The 21,421-nt window shown below is 37.1% G+C and overlaps 1 long non-coding RNA gene across 1 annotated transcript in view; it reads right to left on the bottom strand.

The window, feature by feature from the left end:
* Positions 1-21,421, bottom strand: part of LOC105372760 (uncharacterized) — a 55,507-nt gene that overhangs the window by 9,328 nt on the left and 24,758 nt on the right. The window contains exon 2 of the long non-coding RNA XR_937632.3: positions 11,629-11,806. This is a non-coding gene — a long non-coding RNA (uncharacterized LOC105372760). The remainder of the gene's footprint in view (positions 1-11,628; positions 11,807-21,421) is intronic.

Here is a 21,421-nt window from a genome sequence, read left to right as displayed (position 1 = left end):
CTTCAGAGACTCAGTGAGCACACAGTACTGCTAGTCTTCAGTAGGAAACTTGGGATTGTTCCACCCACAAATCCCTGTGCTGCCTTTGTGATATGTGGTCTGATTTAGAGCAGGAGCAGACACAACTTAAGGAATGAGAGATCAGACAAAGGGACCAAAATGAGATTGTGACCAAAGTTAAAGCATTGACTCTATCTATGTGACTGTGAATGAAAATGGATCCCTTTAAAGTCCTGTTTCAGGACTGAACATTACTTAAAGCTTCCAAAGAGAAGTGTTGAAATTCATCTTTATACATTATCAGCCAGGGAATACTTGATTGTCTCTTTTGTGTTCATTTACTTGTATGGCAAAATAATTCAAGAAAAAAGAGCAAAGGAGTTTAGATTAAATACTGGGTTTTTTTTTGGCTGATGGTCGATTTTTATCCTGTCTTTTTGTATATTTGCTTTTGAATTTGATCCAAGAGTATGATTCTAGTATGTAAAATAAGAAAAAGAAATGAGAACACCAACTACTACAAATATATTCTAAAGAATATAAATTTTTCTCTGAAACTATAAATGAAAAATTAAAACAAAACACCTTTGACTGATTTGAGGAATACAAAAGACTTTGCTATTCTGATTTGGGGGATTTATTTGGTAAAAGGTTTTATTTTTTGATGTCACTATCAAAAATTGAAGCCATATTATTATTTTGACAGTCAGAGGTATCTAGGCATTCCCAAAATAAAATGCTAGATTGCTAATTTCACTTAAGACCAGCATATTTGATGACCATTTGGATTTTGAAAGTATATTACCAATTATTATTTTGACACAGTTTTAAATTTCAAGATAGAGGTTTAAAAGTTAAGAAAGAACAGCTATTTCAGCTTATGACACAATCACAGAAATTGAACTTGCTTTCCCACTAAAAACAACTAGAAAACTGACAAAATATGTAAAACAGCTATTTTCAGGCATTGGACAGCTGGAAGTACAGGACTGCATTGCTTTAAAAAAGGGAAACAAAAGAGGTGAACTATATAATCACTGCACTTTCTTCCTGGAAACACCTTTCTTAATTTCAGAGCAGATAAGGGGAGCCCAAACCAAGCATGACAGTCTCACCTAGTTGATGGAACAGCAATTAGAGTTCAGAAAGGCTGAAGCAGCTGAACTTGCAAGAAAGAGTAAATAGCTCTAGAAATCTGCATGGATCCCCTTGATAGCTTGGTTGAACACTAAGCAATATATGCATGAGGTAAAACTAAGTAATGAATAGGGTAAAACTCCATGAGCCTGTACAAAAATGAAAAGCTACTGCGCAGCTGTAAGCTGAATGATTCCCGAAGATCATACAGGAATGGGAGACAACTTCACACTGATCAAGCCAAAAGGGGATACTTTGTTGAATGTCTGAGGCATTTAAAAGAAAATGCAGAGGGTACTTCATAGTAGGGCTACTATATGCCACCCTTAAAAAGATGAGAGATAAAGTTCAAAATAATGCACAAATGATTAAATTTTCTGCCAAAATATACTTCAACACTCTTTACATGAAGACAGCAAGATCCACACACTTATCACCATAATTTCACAATGTCCAATATCATATAAAAACTACTGAACATGAAGCAGGAATTTATGACTCATAATCATGAGAAACGTGATAGAACCAAACAAATTAGAGATGATGGAAGTAGCAGACAAGTACATTAAAACATTATACATAGTCTTAAGGATTTAAAAGAAAACAAGGTACTAGAGCAGTGGAAGACTTGGGAAAACAAATGTACTTCATAGAGTTGACAAGCATAATATCTGGGAGAAAAAATTAAATGGATGGACTTTGTAGTAGATAACAGACCATATAATAAAAGACCAATGAACTTGAAGACATAGCAACGAAAGTATGCAAACAAAAATACTGAAAGGAAAAAATCTTGAAAAATAAATACAGTCTCACTTACCTGTGGGACAACTGGACTTCCAGAAAAAGAGGAGGAAAGGTCAGATTAAAGCAATAATAGTCAAATTTTCTCCAACTTTGATGAAAACTATTGATATGGTTAGACTTTCTGTCCCCACCCAAATTTCATCTTGAATTGTAATCCCCATAATCCCCATGTGTCAAGTGAGAGACCACATGGAGGTAATTGAATCATGGGGGTAGTTTCCCCCATGCTGTTCTTGTGACAGTGAGTTCTCACGAGGTCTGATGGTTTTATAAGGGATTCTTCCCCCTTCAATTCAGCGCTTCTTTCTCCAGCCATCTTGTGAAGAAAGTGCCTGCCTCCCCTTAGCCTTCCACCATGATTGTAAGTTTCCTTGGGCCTGCTCAGGCCCGACTGTGAGTCAATTAAACCTCTTTCCTTTGTAAATTACCCGGTCTCATGTATTTCCTTTTAGCAATGTGAAAATGGACTAATACAACTATAAATCTGCAGTTCTGAGAAACTCAACAAAGAGGATAAAGACAAAGAAAACCACAGAAGCCATATTTTAATCATATTATTGAATACTAGTAAAAAAAAGAAGCATTGGGTAGGCAGAATGTCTTTCACTGCTGAATTCTATTAAACATTGAAGAAAGAAAACAATAGTTTTACATGAACTCGTTAATTAGAATTAGAGGGGGGAATAATTTCCAATTCATTTTATGAGACTGGCTTTGCTGAAATACCAAAAGCAGAAAGACAGATTACAAGAAAACTACCATCTGGTCCTGGACTCTTTTTGGTTAGTAAGCTATTGATTATTGCCACAATTTCAGATCCTGTTATTGGTCTATTCAGAGATTCAACTTCTTCCTGGTTTAGTCTTGGGAGAGTGTATGTGTCGAGGAATTCATCCATTTCTTCTAGATTTTCTAGTTTATTTGCATAGCGGTGTTTGTAGTAATCTCTGATGGTAGTTTGTATTTCTGTGGGATCGGTGGTGATATCCCCTTTATCATTTTTTATTGCGTCTAGTTGATTCTTCTCTCTTTTTTTCTTTATTAGTCTTGCTAGCGGTCTATCAATTTTGTTGATCCTTTCAAAAAACCAGCTCCTGGATTCATTAATTTTTTGAAGGGTTTTTTGTGTCTCTATTTCCTTCAGTTCTGCTCTGATTTTAGTTATTTCTTGCCTTCTGCTAGTTTTTGAATGAGTTTGCTCTTGCTTTTCTAGTTCTTTTAATTGTGATGTTAGGGTGTCAATTTTGGATCTTTCCTGCTTTCTCTTGTGGGCATTTAGTGCTATAAATTTCCCTCTACACACTACTTTGAATGTGTCCCAGAGATTCTGGTATGTTGTGTCTTTGTTCTCGTTGGTTCCAAAGAATATCTTTATTTCTGCCTTCATTTCATTATGTACCCAGCAGTCATTCAGGAGCAGGTTGTTCAGTTTCCATGTAGTAGAGTGGTTTTGAGTGAGTTTCTTAATCCTGAGTTCTAGTTTGATTGCACTGTGGTCTGAGAGATAGTTTGTTATAATTTCTGTTCTTTTACATTTGCTGAGGAGAGCTTTACTTCCAACTATGTGGTCAATTTTGGAATAGGAGTCGTGTGGTGCGGAAAAAAATGTATATTCTGTTGATTTGGGGTGGAGAGATCTGCAGATGTCTATTAGGTCCGCTTCGTGCAGAGATGAGTTCAATTCCTGGGTATCCTTGTTAACTTTCTGTCTCATTGATCTGTATAATGTTGGCAGTGGGGTGTTAAAGTCTCCCTAGGCATTACCATTCAGGACATAGGCATGGGCAAAGACTTCATGTCTAAAACACCAAAAGCAATGGCAACAAAAGCCAAAATGGACAAATGGGATCTAATTAAACTAAAGAGCTTCTGCACAGCAAAAGAAACTACCATCAGAGTGAACAGGCAACCCATAAAATGGGAGAAAATTTTCACAACCTACTCATCTGACAAAGGGCTAATATCCAGAATCTACAATGAACTCAAACAAATTTACAAGAAAAAAACAACCCCATCAAAAAGTGGGCGAAGGACATGAACAGACACTTCTCAAAAGAAGACATTTATGCAACCAAAAAACACATGAAAAAATGCTCACCATCACTGGCCATCAGAGAAATGCAAATCAAAGCCACAATGAGATACCATCTCACACCAGTTAGAATGGCAATCATTAAAAAGTCAGGAAACAACAGGTGCTGGAGAGTATGTGGACAAATAGGAACACTTTTACACTGTTGGTGGGGCTGTAAACTAGTTCAACCATTGTGGAAGTCAGTGTGGCGATTCCTCAGGGATCTAGAACCAGAAATACCATTTGACCCAGCCATCCCATTACTGGGTATATACCCAAAGGACTATAAATCATGCTGCTATAAAGACACATGCACACGTATGTTTATTGCGGCATTATTCACAATAGCAAAGACTTGGAACCAACCCAAATGTCCAACAATGATAGACTGGATTAAGAAAATGTGGCACATATACACCATGGAATACTATGCAGCCATAAAAAATGATGAGTTCACGTCCTTTGTAGGGACATGGATGAAATTGGAAATCATCATTCTCAGTAAACTATTGCAGGAACAAAAAACCAAACACCGCATGTTCTCACTCGTAGGTGGGAATTGAACAATGAGAATACATGGACACAGGAAGGGGAATATCACACTCTGGGGACTGTGGTGGGGTGGGGGGAATGGGGAGGGATAGCATTGGGAGATATACCTAATGCTAGATGATGAGTTAGTGGGTGCAGTGCACCAGCATGGCACATGTAACTAACCTGCACATTGTGCACATGTACCCTAAAACTTAAAGTATAAATAATAATAAAAAAAAAAGAAAACTACCAATATACCTTATAAACATAAACACAAAAGTCTTTACCAAAGATTAGCAAGTAAAATCCAGCAAAACAAAAATTTAGTGCCACATGACCAATTTGGGCTTATCACAATATTTCAAGTTTGGTTAATAGTTGAATAGCAAATCAAGGTAATTTGTGATATTAACAGAGGAGAGAAAGAAATAATATGCTATCTCACTAAATGGAGAAAAAACTATTTGACAACATTCAATAACTAATCATGATAAATGCTCCTAGCAAATTGGGAATAAAACAAAACTTTCTTTACTGGAAGACAGTATGATAATAAGCATAAAAAAAATTAAAGAAGCTACAAAATATCTACTCAGAATATGCTATAAATTTAAAATAATGTAAGAATATAGGATAGAAGATCAATATTTTAAAAATTAATTATAATTCTATATATTAGCAACTAATAATGGCATATTGAAATGTTTAAAAATAATTTCAATAGCATAAAATATTTAGCTATGGATATAAATAATGCATGACTTCTATTGTAAAAATTACAAAACATTGCTGAGAGGAATTATGAAAAATTAAATGAAGAGATATATTATGTTCATTAGAACACAATATTAAAAAGTCAATTTTCCCAAGTTGATGTATTGATCATTCTAATCATAATTTCAGCAGAGCTTTTTCCTTCTAACTAATAAGCTGATTCAAATATTTATTTTGAAATTCAAATGATTAGAATAGGCAAGAAAAATTTTTTTAAAGAAAAAAGTTGGAGGTAGTGTACTAATGCAATTTAAGACTCACCACAAAGCTGTAGTGATCACAAAGGTGATAATGTCAATTGTATCAACATATCACTCAATGGAACAGAATAGAAACTTTAGAAGTATATACACATATATATGGTCGTTTTCTTTTATTTTTGTATTTTAATTTTATTCTTAACTGACATATAATAATTGTATGTATTTGCGGGGCACAGTGTTATGTTTCAATAAATGTGCTACAGAAATACAATGGGAAAAGGATCGTTTTTTCAAAAATAGTAGTGAAGCAAATGGATATCTATGTGGAAAAAAACTTCAATATTTCATACTATTAAATATACAGAAAATTTTCTCAGACTGGATCATAAACCTAAATGTTAAAGCTAAAGCTATTCAGCTTCTAAAAGAGAACTATAAAAAAAAAAAACTTTGAGAACTCAATGAAGGCAAGGATATACTAGGATATAAACAAACTGTTGTGTCCCTACACAATGGAATACTACTCAGAAATAGAAAATAATGAATTTGCATGATACATGCAACAGTTTGGCTGAATCTCAAAAACGTTATCCTGAGTTTCAAAGAGGACACGCTGCACTGGTGTCTTATGTGGGACACAAGGCAGCATGGCCTTGGCTTGTCTAATCACAAAAATCCACCAATCTTCAAATTTGGAGCTTGTGAGATAGAACAAACACAGTCCATAGGGAATTCTTTCTAATGTCAGCTGCAGCTACACTCATTATCCAGGGCACCAGTAGCTGAGATGCCTATCTATGGTGGCATCCAGGAATCAGAGCTAGAAGTAGAGATTGTATAAGCTGAGATACTCAGTTGCATCATGGCAGTAGCAGTGTCCTCTTTGGAGAGAATCTGTGCCATTATCGTGGTCTTGCAATTCTGGCTCTTGCCAGCCCTCTTTGTTCCTGACAATTCCCTGAGATATCCTGGCAATTCTTTGAATGACCCAACATCCATTCAATATTCTTTTCTTCTTGAGATGATCCCTTTTAGTGTTGTTTGCTAGTATTAACTCTTATTAATACAAATTGTCTTAAATACCATGTAAAGAGGGATGATTTGAAAATTTATTTTTCTGCTTTTGACCCAATCTGCAGATATATGAACTCTCCTTAAAATCGCCCTCAGATACAAACTAAATATCTGTGAAACAGAATTCTTGATCTCCTTCTTCCCCATGAACTGGCAATTGACTAACCAAAGCACAGTGTTTTCTTTCTGCAGTACATCAATTAGCAGCCACTAAACAACCCCATCCTTCTTATAATTACTATCAAATTACAAAAGTATTAAATTTCATAGCTGCTGTGTGGTCCAGTGCATCCCTTTTCACTTGTATTCCATCCCAACTCACCACAGGTAAAAATATCAACAATTTAATGCTACAGCAGGCCAGAGGATATCATCCCTTCACTCACCACAAACAACAGCTTCTCTGTTGCCATCTGGGCATTGAGTGATTTAATTCTAAGTCTCATCCTAAAAGTTGGCTTCCTAGAACCAATTTCAGTACCTAAAATTACTGATATAGGGTTGGATTCCCCAGAAGCATCATACTGAAATGAGGATTTAGGGGTAAAGTGGCTTATTTGAAGTATTCCCAGGACAGAAGTAAAGGAGGAAGGAGTTGGGACCAGAAGAGGAAGGAGACCAAGGAAGGCTGTGATAGCAAGCATAGCCCAGCAGAATGTATCTTAGGCTCAATAATCCAGAGGCAGTTTGCATTCCATGTTGTTCTCAGCTTAGAGGTGTCCTGATTAGGGGATGGAGTATTTCTATTCCTTAATGTATCAGTTATTAGCCAAGGGCTGTTCCCAGGGAGAAATAAATGCCCAGCTACTTCTCCTCTCTGAGCTTACAGGAAAGGCAGGTTCTAGCATCCTGGAAAAGAAACACACATGTTTACTTTGTGTTTCCCCCACTAGACTGTGGGTCACATAAGGTCAGAAGCCATGTCTTCCTATGGAGCTGTATCCAGCACCTACAATAGCCTTTGCATCCAGCTTTGCACCATTCTGGGTTCCAACAATCAAGGTGTGGAATTGAGAGGATATTACTTAGAAAGCAGAATTCTGAGAAAAGACATGGGAAGTAATTTAGATCAAGATCAACAAGAGCATGTGAGATGAGACAAGAAGTTTAAGGTCAAGAATATCAGAAATCCGGAGGAAGCAATGTACTAGCTGGACTAAAGCAGATATAATTAAGACATCCTGGAGGTATTATTGAATCAAAACTATGAACAAAAATATTTTTTAATGACATGCTATGACTGTTGCATGGGTTAGCCTTGAGAATTAAAGGGGGCTAAGGGAAAAAGAAATAACAGAGCATTATAATAGTGACCTCGACTATCTGATAATAGTGAATTTGTTCTCAGAAAAAGCAAGATATTCTCAGAGTAATTAGATGATTGGATGGAAGAATCAGAGTCATTTCTTCTGAAACCAGCTATTAAATCAATTAATGAAAACAATTATATACCATCACTCTAGAGGTGAAAAAAGGAAGACAGATTATGTATCTAAGTAAATTAGACACCTTTGAGTCTCCAACAAGTAAAAGGCAGAACTGGCCTAATAGAAATATAATACAAGCCACATATGTAATTTTAAATTTTGTGGTGGTCACATTAACAAAAATGTGTAAAGAACAGGTAAAATTATTAATAGTAATGCACATTATTTAACTCAATATATTCAAAATACAACTATTTTAACATATGATCAATATAAAAATATGAATGATATATGTTATATTCAATTTTTTAATTGAATAAAGTAAAATTTTTTAAAAATTAAAAATTCAGTTCCTCAGTCTCACTAGTTACATTCATTTCAAGTGCTCAATAGTCACATGTGGCTAATGGCTACTATATTGGACAAAGTCATGCTAAAACCAAAGAATAATGATGATGTGAGACTTTCTGAGAAACATTCTGAATTTAAAGCATAATGTGCTCATGGTCTAATGCTTACAGTTAATGAAATTCTTACCCTCCTTTCAGAAGGTCAAGTTTTTGAAAAATTTGCTTGTTGAAAGCTTCTTAATGGCAGATCATCAATGAGGCTACTGCAGAAGCCAAAACAATCATCACTTACTGAAGAACATTCTGAGTTAAGCTGCTTCTATTTAGAATGTTTGACCTCCCTGGAATGTTCCATGACTTCAATCTGACCTTGCCACCCAGTTTCCAGATGTGCTGCCATATATGAATGAAGTTCTCACTGTGGCATGAATTGATGATGAATCCATGAGAAGAATTTAGAGAGTCCTGAATAGTTTTGAGATATATATGTATATATAGATAGATAGATATAGATATCCGAGTGAAAAATCCACTGTAAACCTCTCAGACCCCAAGTAGTATCACTGGTATTTTCCTCCCCAAATCAGGACATGGCAACACAGGAACTGTAAATGCTAAAAAGAAGGTATGATTTTAAAACTTTCTCATGGTTACTTATTACAATTCCTTTTTCTGCTCCCTCTCCTTTCCCTAGAATAAAAATCATACAAGGTCATTGTATTAGTCAGGGTTCTCTAGAGGGACAGAACTAATAGAATATATGTATACATGAAAGGGTGTTTATTAAAGAGAAATGACTCACACGATCACAAGGTAAAGTCCCATGATAGGCTGTCTGCAAGTTGGGGACCAAGGAAGCCAGTGGTGAATCAGTCCGAGTCCCAAAAACTCAAAAGTAGGGAAACCAACAGTGCAGCCTTCAGTCTATGGTCAAAGGCTGGAGAGCCCCTAGCAAACCACTGGTATAACTCCAAGAGTCCAAAAGCTGAAGAACTTGGAGTCCCTGGTTCGAATGCAGGAAGCATCCAGCTTGAGAGAAAGATGAAGGCTGAAGACTCAGCAAGTCTTGTCTTCCATCTTCTCTTGCCTGCTTTATTCAGCCACACTGGCAGCTGATTAGATGGTGCCCACCCAAATTGAGGGTGGATCTGCCTCACCAAGTCCACTGACTCAAATGTTTATCTCCTTTGGCAACACCCTCACAGACACACCCAGGAATAATACTTTGCACTTCAATCCAATCAAGTTGACAGTCAATATTAACCATCACAGTCATCGTATTGGAAACTGGAATAAAGCTGGAAATGACGTTTTGTAGTTGGGAATTTATTCATCTGTTATAAAATCCAAGGACACCTACTTTCCATGAAAATTTATCAGAAAATATAACTAGGAATGCAGTGCAATTTTATGTCCATTTCTCAGGGAATACCATTTCTTAATTTGGTAGGTAACTCAAAATGGCTTCAGGGCCAGTAAGTTTCATTTCAAACATCTCCTGAAATAATCTAAAAAACACTCAAAGAGCCACACAATATTATTGCCAATAGTAGTCTGATTAATTCAGTTCAAACAATTTCTCCAAGTTATCACATACCCTCCATCACCTTGAACAAATGACAGGCTAGAAGGAAGGTAGAGATGACTAAGGAAATGCTAAAACAAATCTTTCTAAAAATTGAATTACTAAGCATTCATCACTAACATGCCATTCCATATTCCATATCAGCAGTTAGTCTTGATGGCAGTTATGGGGCAGCATCTCAACACTCACCTCCATTGTAAACAAGGATCAGTCTTGGGTTCTGTTGGGTTCTACCTACCTAATCATCTCAACTCTACTACAAAAAGTGACAATGCTTGGCAAAGGAGTTAAAACAAAAGTGGTTTAAGCCTGCTATAACTGTATTCCATGTGAAATGGGTTGGGGTAGCAACATTATGATACTCACCTGAGATTTTCCTCTCAGGATAGCTTGATAATATTATGACTATTCACTCAATTTATTACAACTGTCATCTTTATTTTTAAAAAATACAAAAATTAGCCAGGTCTGGTGGCACACACCTGCAGTCTCAGCTACTTGGGAGGCAGAGGCTACTTGGGAGGATGACCTGAGCCTGGGGCCCTCAGGGCTGCTGTGACACACGATCGCACCACTGCACTGTAGCCTGAGCAGCAGAGTGAGAGTCTGTCACACACATACACACACACAAGATACATACATAAAATACAGTAAATAAATATTTCCACTTACACATATATACATGCACTTATATGTATACATAGATATGTAAGCACACACACACGCACTCACACTCTTATAACTCTCTTCAGAACCATCAAATGAAAGAGTAACTAATAAAATAAAATTTCCAGGTTTTTCTTTATCAACTAGTATATATAGATATAGCTCTGCAAAGACCACTGTTTTTTTTGCATTTTTTGCAATTTATGAATGGCAACTGATTCCATAGGTGAGAGCTAGGATGCAAGCCCAGGCAGTTTGGCTCACATCTTTGGCTACATCCCTGGCCACAATAATAACATAGAAACTCATTTTTGGAAAGAATTAAAGAAGTGGTCTTGCCTAACTCAAAAGCCAATATTTAATGTGTTCAATATTCCTGACAGCGTATCAATTCTTCTAGCAGTAAGGACAGAAAAACATTTTTGAAGCAAAAGGAATGTGTCAGATCTTTTTTCTGTGTGACAAATTCAAATAGTTTAGTTACTCCTTAAGCAGCTATGCTATCTGATTTCCAATTTTAGTTCCAATTTGAGGAATTACCCCTTCCCATAATAAATGTAAGTAAAAGCACTATAATCATTATTTTATTTTCTAGGGTATCTGTCTAGCTTGGGAAAAGAAAAACTGAGAAGTTCTAAGGTAAGCTGTAAACATCAATCGTATAGGTTTATAAAGTCATCCTATAACATGTCTAATACTTGTAATAACAGAATCAGATTGTGCACAGAAAATACTCATTCGGTTTTCAAAAAGTACTTTTCACCCGTTTTGTCTAATGTCTCATCTCTATCTTATCCTACACAGAAATGTGGACTTTCTCAAGGTTGAGCTCTTCTTCGAAAACACACACACAGAGAGAGAGAGAGATTGTTATCTAGGAAAAAAATAGAAATGAAAGAAAATAGAAATATCACCAAAATTGTGGTTTCAAATAGAGACCAACTTAAACCCTTCCATAGTTTTTACAATCAATCATAAAAGCAGTTCTTTTACTTACTTTCTCAAAAAGGGTTGGAATAGGGAGACTTCCCAGGAATCTAAGCAAACTTCAAGCAGGATTATAGTCCTGTTTCCCACATTTGCACAAACTTCCTTCACGATGATTTGACTTTGCAGCATCAGGATTGTCTGGCAGAGCAAACAAAGCCAGAGTTGGCACAGGTATCTCCCTAGCTCTGGAATGAGATTAGAGATGAAAGAAATATCAACATCCACCAAAGCCAGTGAAAGCAAATCTAAACTTTCTCCTACCACCAAACAAACAACCACAGCCACATCTTAAAAACTACAATCGGATGGCTGATTTGGCCCCACGGTCCTGAAGTGGCTTCTTGTATATCTTAGTCCTGTAATTAGTGGCGAGTGTTCCCTCCGGATGTTCAAGAGTTAGATTTGGTTTGAATTTTGCTCAGAAGCTTATCCAAATAATGCTGGATTTTTCTTCCGTGTGTGTTCCTCCTTTTACTCATATATTTTCTTCCCCTCATCCCACCTATTCAATTTTTTCCTTCAGAACTAAATAATATTTATTTCCAAGTATAAAGTTTTTGATTGTATCTCATTAGTTCAGAGCCTATGTCCTACTCTTTAAAAACATATTCATTTTACTTCCTAGAAGCTACAGAATAGAATTTTTTGTCGAAAATGTAGCTTAGTTGAAAGAGTTCCAAGTTTTTTAGCCAGAAAATAAATCGCATGCCCATACTTCATAAGGCTTCAATTTTGTTTTTAAGAATCTTTCTAAACAGAAAATAATAAAAGCTAAAATCAGCTGGAAGTAGACATTTGTAATTATTTGGCTGGCTAGCATCCTTTTTCTCTTCCTAAGTACACCATGATTTCTAAATATTTGAGGAATTACCTCCTTCCCTTCTGTCAGGACTATAATTATGGGCCCAAACCTCTTGTAGGCTAGGCAGTGAAAATGTTCCTCAAGATAGGCAATAATTCAGAGCTCTCTGGAATTTGATTCTTGAGCAGAGGGACAAAGAGATTGAAAGTTGTGGTTTCTCCTTTTCCACAGTGGCTTCCTGACTGGATCCTTCATGTTACAGGAGACTTTCTGTGGTTCTTGATCAGTTTGCTGCATGTACTTTTCTGCTTGCCTATTTCCAAGCCTACTTCTCCAGACTATATATCAAGTCTGAGAATCCTCAATAACTCACCACAGTTTTCTTTGGTTCATGTTAGTCAGGGTCAGTTTCTTTTGCACACAACCAAAGAATACTAGTGAATTAAGAGTTAAGACCTGTCACTCATTCTTAAATAGATAACGACCTGGGCCAGGTTCATTGAATTATAGTTAGTTCAATGAACGTAACTCTAAAGTTCTCAGTGCTAGAAAAATAATACGAGAAAAGGAAGACAGTACTTATGCTTAGGGCATTTACCACACAGTTAAGATTAATCCACACACAACAATTACAGTTCCCAGGTGTAAAAAGAACTCAGAAGGAATGCATTCAGTATCCAAGCAATGAGTTCTCTTGTCACCCACCTGGTTTCCCAAGTCTAAACCTGAAATTCATTTTTTAATTACCTCTTGTTCTCACCCCATACATCTAATTAGTCACAACTCATTCACTGAGAAAATATTTATTAGCAAGCCATGTTCATTGTGCTTATTCTATATCTCTTGTTTCTCTCCATCCCCAAAGCTACTACTTTAATTTAGCCCCTCGTGGTGCATTTCTCATCTGAAGGACTGCAGCAATTTCCTAAATGGCCTCTCTGCTTCTGTCTTTGTTCCTTACAATTCATTCTCCTCTAAGAAGATAGAATTATCCTTCTAAAATGCAAATCTGATCATGTTGCTTTCTTCCTGAGGCTTGCCAACAGTTTAGGAAGGGCTCCAAATGTCTTAGTGTGGTATTCACGGCCCTTCAATGCACGTAAAAACTCTTCTGGAACAAAGTGAGCTGTAACTAAACAAACAATTGAAGAAGCAAGGTCTATCATGATTTGGCACTTGCTTATCTCTCCGGCTTCATCTCTCACCACTCTGTGCTACAAGCATATTGAGCTACTTACAGCTCTCTCATCTGGCCTGAGCACTGGCTGCTTCTCTGGCTGGAATGCCCTTCCTGCTCACTGCCCTCATTTCACCTGACAAGCTCTGAATTTCCCACCTCCAGGCCTAAGAAATCTGCTTCCTCTTTGTATTGCTGTGCTAGTCCCTCTGTGCCTACCTCTAACACAATATTTATCACTCTATACTCTAATTTTCTCTTCCTTTGTTTGCCTTTCTTTCTAGAAGGCAGGTGCTGTTCTTTGATTTTGGAAACTGTGCTTGCTTCATCTTTGTATTCTCCACACTTAGTAGGACACCTAGCACATGAAATCATCCAATACATGTTTATTGACTAACTGAACACATATAAAATATGTTCAGAAGCAACGTATACAGTATCTTTTCTATAGACCCAAATAATAGAAAAGATCAGAGAACACATTTTAAGGCATTCTCCTTGTAAGCACGAGAAACATCTTAATACCTAGAGAGTTTCAGGACTCTCTAAAAATGCCAACTCTAGATCATAAAAAATGTATTACAATAGAGGAAACAAACTTTACAGATTCATGTAAAGCTTCTGTTGACTCGAGTGAGCGGTAAACTCTCATGGACATTTCAAAAAAAACTATAGATGTTCATAAAGCTCTTCATGTTGTGGGATAACACTGACTATATTGATGCATGATCCAGCCTGAGATAATTGGTTTTATAACATGTAAGAATGAGCTAAGATTGTCCATTGCAGCCCAAGAAGAAATATGCAACCTTTTTTTGACGATCTTCCCTGAATAAATAAATTCAGACAAAAATAATAGAAAGTTGTACAAGAAACCAGAGAATGAGTGGACTATTGCTGCAGATATTCTCCTAGGATGGAGTCAAATGGAATAAAAGCTGTAAAAACATAAACATGGTTTCATAGGCACTTTGTATTAGTCCGTTTTCACACTGCTATAAAGATACTACTCCAGACTGGGTAATTTATAAATAAAGGAGATTTAATTGACTCAGAGTTCTGCATGGCTAGGGAGGTCTCAGGAAACTTCCAATCATGGTGGAGGGTGAAGGGGAAGCAAGCACCTTCTTCACGTGGCAGCAGGAGACAGAAGAGCAAGCAGGGGAAATGCCAGAAGCTTATAAAACCATCATATCTCACGAGAACTCTGTCACTATCATGAGAACAACATGGGGGAAAGTGCCCCCATGATCCAATCGCCTCTCCCAGATTCCTACCTTAATACCTGGGGATTACAGTTCAAGATGAGATTTGGGTGGGGACACAAAGCTTAACCATATCACATTAGTAACAACAAAAAAGGCACCATGTATATGGTAATGAGCTCAACATGCTGTTTACAAAAGATACTTGATGCAGTTCTTCAAGAACTTGTCTTCCTTTTTCTACCATGAACAAGTCACACTCATCAGCACTTTGCACATCTTTGTACAGATAGATAATTCTCTCTATATATATGATTATAATCTAAAGGCAAATTATCATCACCTAGCATTAATCCCAAATATGTAACTCCTGTTCTTACTTCTAATTGTTTTATTTCCTTACATACAACTGTCCAGAGAGCTTGCCTTTATTGTAAACAAAATGTATTCAATCGTAAATCAGTTATCTTCACTCTAATTAGTTCTCTTTCACCTTCTATTTCTGTAGAGGCATGGCCATTCTTCATTAACTCCTTTTTTTTTTTAGTGTTTTTTGTTTCCTATCTCTTCCTCTCACTCATGATTTATAACTGAATGCTCCAATAAATCTATTATTATAGTTACAAATTATCCAGCACATGCCAACCTTTCTCTGATACTAACTAATTAGGTGAAATATCATCTTGTCTAGGTATTGTGAGCAACACCGCCAACATCATCTTCCTGAGCTTTTGCCTACTGCTTCCATCTGGCCCCTTTTGCTCCTCATCTTCCTTAAAAACATCATGTGAACTCTCAAGCTGTTTCCTCACTCTGGATTCTCCACATCCATGAAAGTTCATCCTATATAACTCTATGACTTAAACACCTTGTCCTCTTCAAGCCAGCTTTACTGTACCATACGCATTTCTCTTCCCACTCCTTTGCTAGAGTTCCCAGCTCAATATGTCTTCATGGCTTTCTCAACTTATCCTATAATCTTAACTGTCTTCTAAAAGCTTGTTCCAGTCTCATGTTTGTGAGGATTTGCACAATTTCTCCTAATAGTGCCTCCAGTGAAACACACACTTGTTGCATACAAAAGCTCTGTGTAACTACACTAGTCAAGATAGGTTAATTTGTGCTGTACTAACAAAAAATCCAGGAATTTCAATGACCTCACAGAAGTTTTTTTCTTACACTAAATGTCCCATATGAGCCATCAGGTAGCTCTACTGTGCCGTCACTCAGGTATTCAGTAAACAAAGGCTCTCATATTTGGTGCTACATTATGCTCAGTTGCAATGGCAAGGGAAGAGAAAAACTAGAGAAATGTGCAAGGAATTTTTATTGCCTCTAATCAGAAGACAAAATTCCTTTCAGCTCACATAGTCTCACCTTGCAAGTGGGCCATAAAATGTATAGGAGTGAACAGAATACTTAACACTACTATTGCCATCACTGTAAATTTGTATTAATTATCTCAGCTAAGCTTATGTAGAAAGTGAAGTTCTTAAGTCTAGAACTGCCGTTTTACACATTGGAGCATTACTACCTGTAGAGAAAAATTGAGGACAGTACCTGCCTGTCCTAGCAGACCCACTTATGTCACCTGCTGTCAGACCAGATGGAAAGCAGCATGAATAGGAGCATGATCTTAGAATGTGAAGGCCAAGAGCCCAGGCATACTAGGAGATTCCCTCCTTAGCACAGATAAAAGCCTGCCGCTCATGGATGTGAGCTAAGCTGACCAATAAAGATGGTCTAGAATGCACCTGATGTGATAAAGCCAAATAGTCTTGAATGTCCAGAAGAGCTTTGAAAGGTGGAAGCTAGCAACTGTCTTATTCTCTTCGTCTCTTTAGGCTACTATAACAAAAATACCTAAGTCTGAGTAGCATATAAACAACATAAATTTATTTCTCACAGTTATGGAGCTGGGAAGTCCAAGATCGAGGCACCGGGAGATTCAGTATCTGGTGAGGACTCTGTTCTGCATAGACAGACATCTTTTCATTGTAACCTCACATGGTGAAAGGGGCTAGCTAGCTCTCTGGGGTCTCTTTTATAAGGGTGCTAATCCCATTCGTGAAGGTGGAGCCCTCATGACCTAATCACATCCCCAAGGCCTCACCATCTAATGCTTTCATGTTGGAAATCAGATTTCAATGTATGAATTTAGGGGAGTAGGAAAACAAACAAACCGTTCAGACCATAGCACTGGTTTTGCTGTTTCACTGCTTCAAGTGCCTTTTCATTCTCCTAGAGAGAATTCTAAAATAACAGGCATTGTGCAAGATAAACTTCCCTTGTGCTCCAGCACTGTGTCATCAGGGAATACTCAAGGCTGTTTCATAATGGACAAGAACCCCTTCATTAGAAAGACCATGCGTGCATGGGTAGGAAGTACTTCTTTATTCCTTGTGTTTTCCTCTCTGTGGAAAATATTCCTTCATACTCCCAGCTTCCCTTGCTTTCTCACTCATTTCCAAATAGTTTATATAACTGGGAGGGGCTTATCTCACAGGTGATGTTAGAAGGAAGACCTGGGCAAGTGGAACCCACATCTTCCTTCGCTGTTTCTCTTAAGAAACAGCTGCTCCCATGTTCTACTTTACTTCTCTGTGGGTGACTTCTGTTTTCATAGGTAGAGCCTGCCCAGTCAAGCACTGCTGTGACAAGGTGAATAAGGCTATATAAATCAGGCCTTCGGTGCAGAAGTCCACATGCTCCCAGATACAAAACACATTCTCTAATTTCAATTTTGACTGTAATAAGGGTGATTATATTTTATTCTCTGTACGTGAACTAATTTATTACGTTTCTTAATTGAAGCTGAATGGGTAAATGGAGCACAATTTGTTGCATCTCCCAAATAACCTCAGAAAGGTAGCATATTGTTTTATTTACTGAAATATATTCACTGTTAACCTTTATAGTAGCATTCTTTTTTTACTGTTACTATAAAACAACTACTACTTTAGACCTGATATTCAGTGATATTAATACATTATTAGAATGTGTAGCTACTGATAAACTTTTCATAGAAAATTCTGTAAAATTCTATCAGTTTGAAGTAAAATATGTCAATATGAATGCATTATATTCTTTTTTTTTTTTTTGACAGATTCTCACTCTGTCACCCAGGCTGGAGTGGCATGATCCCAGCTCACTGCAACCTCTGCCTCCCAAGGGCTCAAGCCATCCTCTGGCCTCAGCTGCTGGAGTAGCTGGGAACATGGGAACATAGGCACAAGCCACCGGACCCAGATAGTTTTTGTTTTTGTTTTTGTTTTGAGATGGAGTCTTGCTCTGTTGCCCAGCCTGGAGTGCAGTGGAGCAATCTTGGCTCACTGCAACCTCCACCTCCCAGGTTCAAGTGATTCTCCTGCCTCAGTCTCCCAAGTAGCTGGGATTACAGGCATGTGCCACCACACGCAGCAGTTTTTGTATTTTTTTGTAGATACAGGTTTCGTCATGTTGCCCAGGCTGATCTCCAGCTCTTGAGCTCAAATGATCCACCCACGTCAGCCTCCCAAAGTGCTGGGATTGCAGGCAAAAAAAAAAAAAAAAAATTGGTTTGAACATAACATTCTCTACTAGCATTAGAAAATGCTAAGGCATTAGAAAAGTAGTTTAATTTTTTCTGGTTGTGTCAATCAATGATATAGGTCCTCTAAGCAGCCATAGGAGCCTACTGATTTTTAAGTGTTTTAAAAGGGAAAGAGTAGGTATAATTCAAAGTCAATATGAATGTAAGTGCTGGGATTTATAGTGGGGGAGGGGATATAATGGATATGGTTGGCAGGAGTTGAATCCCATGATTCAAAAAACTCTAATAAGGAAACTTCACAGCTTCTATTCAAATCAAACTTAGGTCTCATAATTCTAATTCCATCAAATTACATTTACCCATTCTGAAAAAAAAATAGCTCTAATAAATGTCCTCTGCTTTGCTTACTTACCATCTTGATAAAGCGGCTTGAATTCTAGGTGAGGTACAGAATGTGCTCTCAAAATCCCACAACAAAATAGCAAAATTACCCACTTACACTAACGTCTCGTGTTTTCAAAACCACAGTTTTGAATTTGACCAACAATAAGGATCTCTCTGCTTTAGGTTAGAAATGGAAAATATTATTGACTGTCACCCAGGATCTGCCATTGACAGGTCATTCATTAAACAGTCTATTTTCTGTAACCCTGAGGCACACAGTAGTGTGAAGTTGGATTCAGATAAGGGCATCTGTTCATTCAAAACTTATGGTACAAGCATGACTCCAAAGAAAATCAGATTAGCCCGCATATGCCAATGTCTCTGATGATTACACACAAAAAAAGATCACTAGTTTGGTAGGCTGAAAGATATTAAATTAAATATACATAGCTGCAAGACAAATGAATTTCAAATGCTTTAAGTTGGATTGAAAATAGCAGCTTTTCTTCAAAATATCGACAGCTTAATATTTACAAGTTACTAAGAAGCAATTTAAGTATTTAAACCTAAAAGAAGACTAAAGCTTCTCTACCATTTCTTTTATCTCACCAAATTCTACTTACTTGGAGGTCACATATCTGCTTTTTAGTGCCACCTTTTGGGTGGTCTTGTTATTACATAACATTAAAATTGAAACGCTGGAAATTCAGTGTGTGTTTTAATTGAACTTTAGCATATTAAGTTTATGCTCTTAGTTGTCCACATTAACTGCACAGTTTATTTAGATAGAGACACTTTTCACTTGTCTTCTGTAATAAAGCAGAAGCTGTGAAGTTTCCTTGAGTTTTTTGAATCGTGGGATTCAACCCCCACCAATCTCATCCATTATATTCTCCAACCTCAATATAAACCCCAGCACTTACATTCATGTAAAGTTTGACTTTGAATTATACCTACTGTTTCCCTTTTAAAAAACTTAATGCTCCCACGGTTGCTTAGAGGATCTATGTCATTGATTGACACAACCAGAAAAGATTGAATTGCTTTTCTAATGCCGCATGATTTGCAAGCAGTGGAGCTCAAGCCAAACCTAGGTCTCATCAATCTAACTCCATCAATTACATTTACACATTCTGAAAAAATATATATATTAGCTCTAACAAATGTCCTCTGCTTTGCTTACTCGTATCTCGAAAAAGTGGCTTGAAATTCAGGTGAAGTATAAAATCTGCTCTCAAAATTCTACAGCAAAATAATAAAATTACTTACACTAACATCTGGGGTTTTTAAAACTATAGTTCTGAATTTGACCAACAACAAGGATCTTTGTGCTTTAGGTTAGAAATGGAAAATATTATTGACTGTCACCCAGGATCTACCATTGACAGGTCATTCATTGAAGAGCCTATTTGGCATATTATCCACCCATTCACCTAGATTCTCAAAGTCCCATTCCCATAATTAAGTAGATCATTGAACAATAGGAAATCTAAAAAATATTAATACAGTATCCATAAGAAATATTTTATAAATTTATAATATAATATTCAGCTCTTGGGTCAGTAAAAACATCATCTCTTTAAACACAATTTTAGAGCTATTTTTGGTAAAACCATAGTAGTTTTTCATTGATTTTTAATGTACCTTATGAGAGCACCTCTTTTACATGCAAAAAAAAAAAAGTTAAGTGAATTGGTATCATTTAAATTTTGTAACTAAAAAATGTCTTTGCTTCCAGGCAAATCAAACTTCATGCCCAATTATGATAATTAAATAATCTCAGGTATTTGGTCATGTTTACTCTTTTTACTCTTTGCTGGTGACCTCTGTTCTGTTTTTGTTTTCATTCCAAATTGCTCTGCCTTTTGTTATGTTTGCTTTTCCAAATTATCTTAAATCTTGTTGGATGTGGCACAAGTGTCAAAATGAAAGGGGTTAATTCAAGGATTCCAGGAAAGAGGTGGTTGCTGCAGCTAGCATCAGACAAGAGTGGGGTGGAAGAGCCTTCCAAGATTTCACGGGTCATAGCTAAGGCCAATGGAGAGGTAAAGCAAAAGACAATGAGAGCGAATGCAAGATAAACAGAGAAAATAATGTATTGAACATGTTGAGATAGCCGGCAAGAAGACTTGTAATCAGACAGAGCCATGGCTAAAGATTCTCAAGAGAAAGCTTATGAAGCCCACTGGGTCTGATTGAAGAGCTGGGTTAGCAGGAGTTTACCATGTAGAAGTCAGGTTGTCTTACTGAAGCAAAACCACTCTGGTCATGTACTTAAGAATTTATGACAGTGAATTACAGATAGTAATCCACCAAAGGCAAGGATACTTTTTGAGAAATGGTACCTATGCTTCCTTCTGAACCCACGCACTGACTTCACCCCATGGTTCACCAGTGGTTCAGTGCTTCCCTCCTGAACCCACCCATTTTGAGAAATTCTGCTTCAGTGTGAGAAAGGAGTAACTGGAGAAAAGAAGCTGTACAAATCTAGAATTCATCAATGATATAAATGAATACATTCCACACAATACTACAACATGTTCACTGAGTTTATTTAAGCTTTAAGATTATTTACTGGCTGGGCGTGGTGGCTGACACCTGTAATCCCAGCCCTTTGGGAGGCCGAGGCGGGCAGATAGCCTGAGGTCGGAAGTTTGAGACCAGCCTGGCCAACACGGTGAAACCCCATCTCTACTAAAG

Source organism: Homo sapiens, chromosome 21 (assembly GCF_000001405.40).
Source record: "Homo sapiens chromosome 21, GRCh38.p14 Primary Assembly".
Lineage (NCBI taxonomy): Eukaryota > Metazoa > Chordata > Mammalia > Primates > Hominidae > Homo > Homo sapiens.
This window is presented reverse-complemented; position numbering and strand designations above follow the sequence as displayed.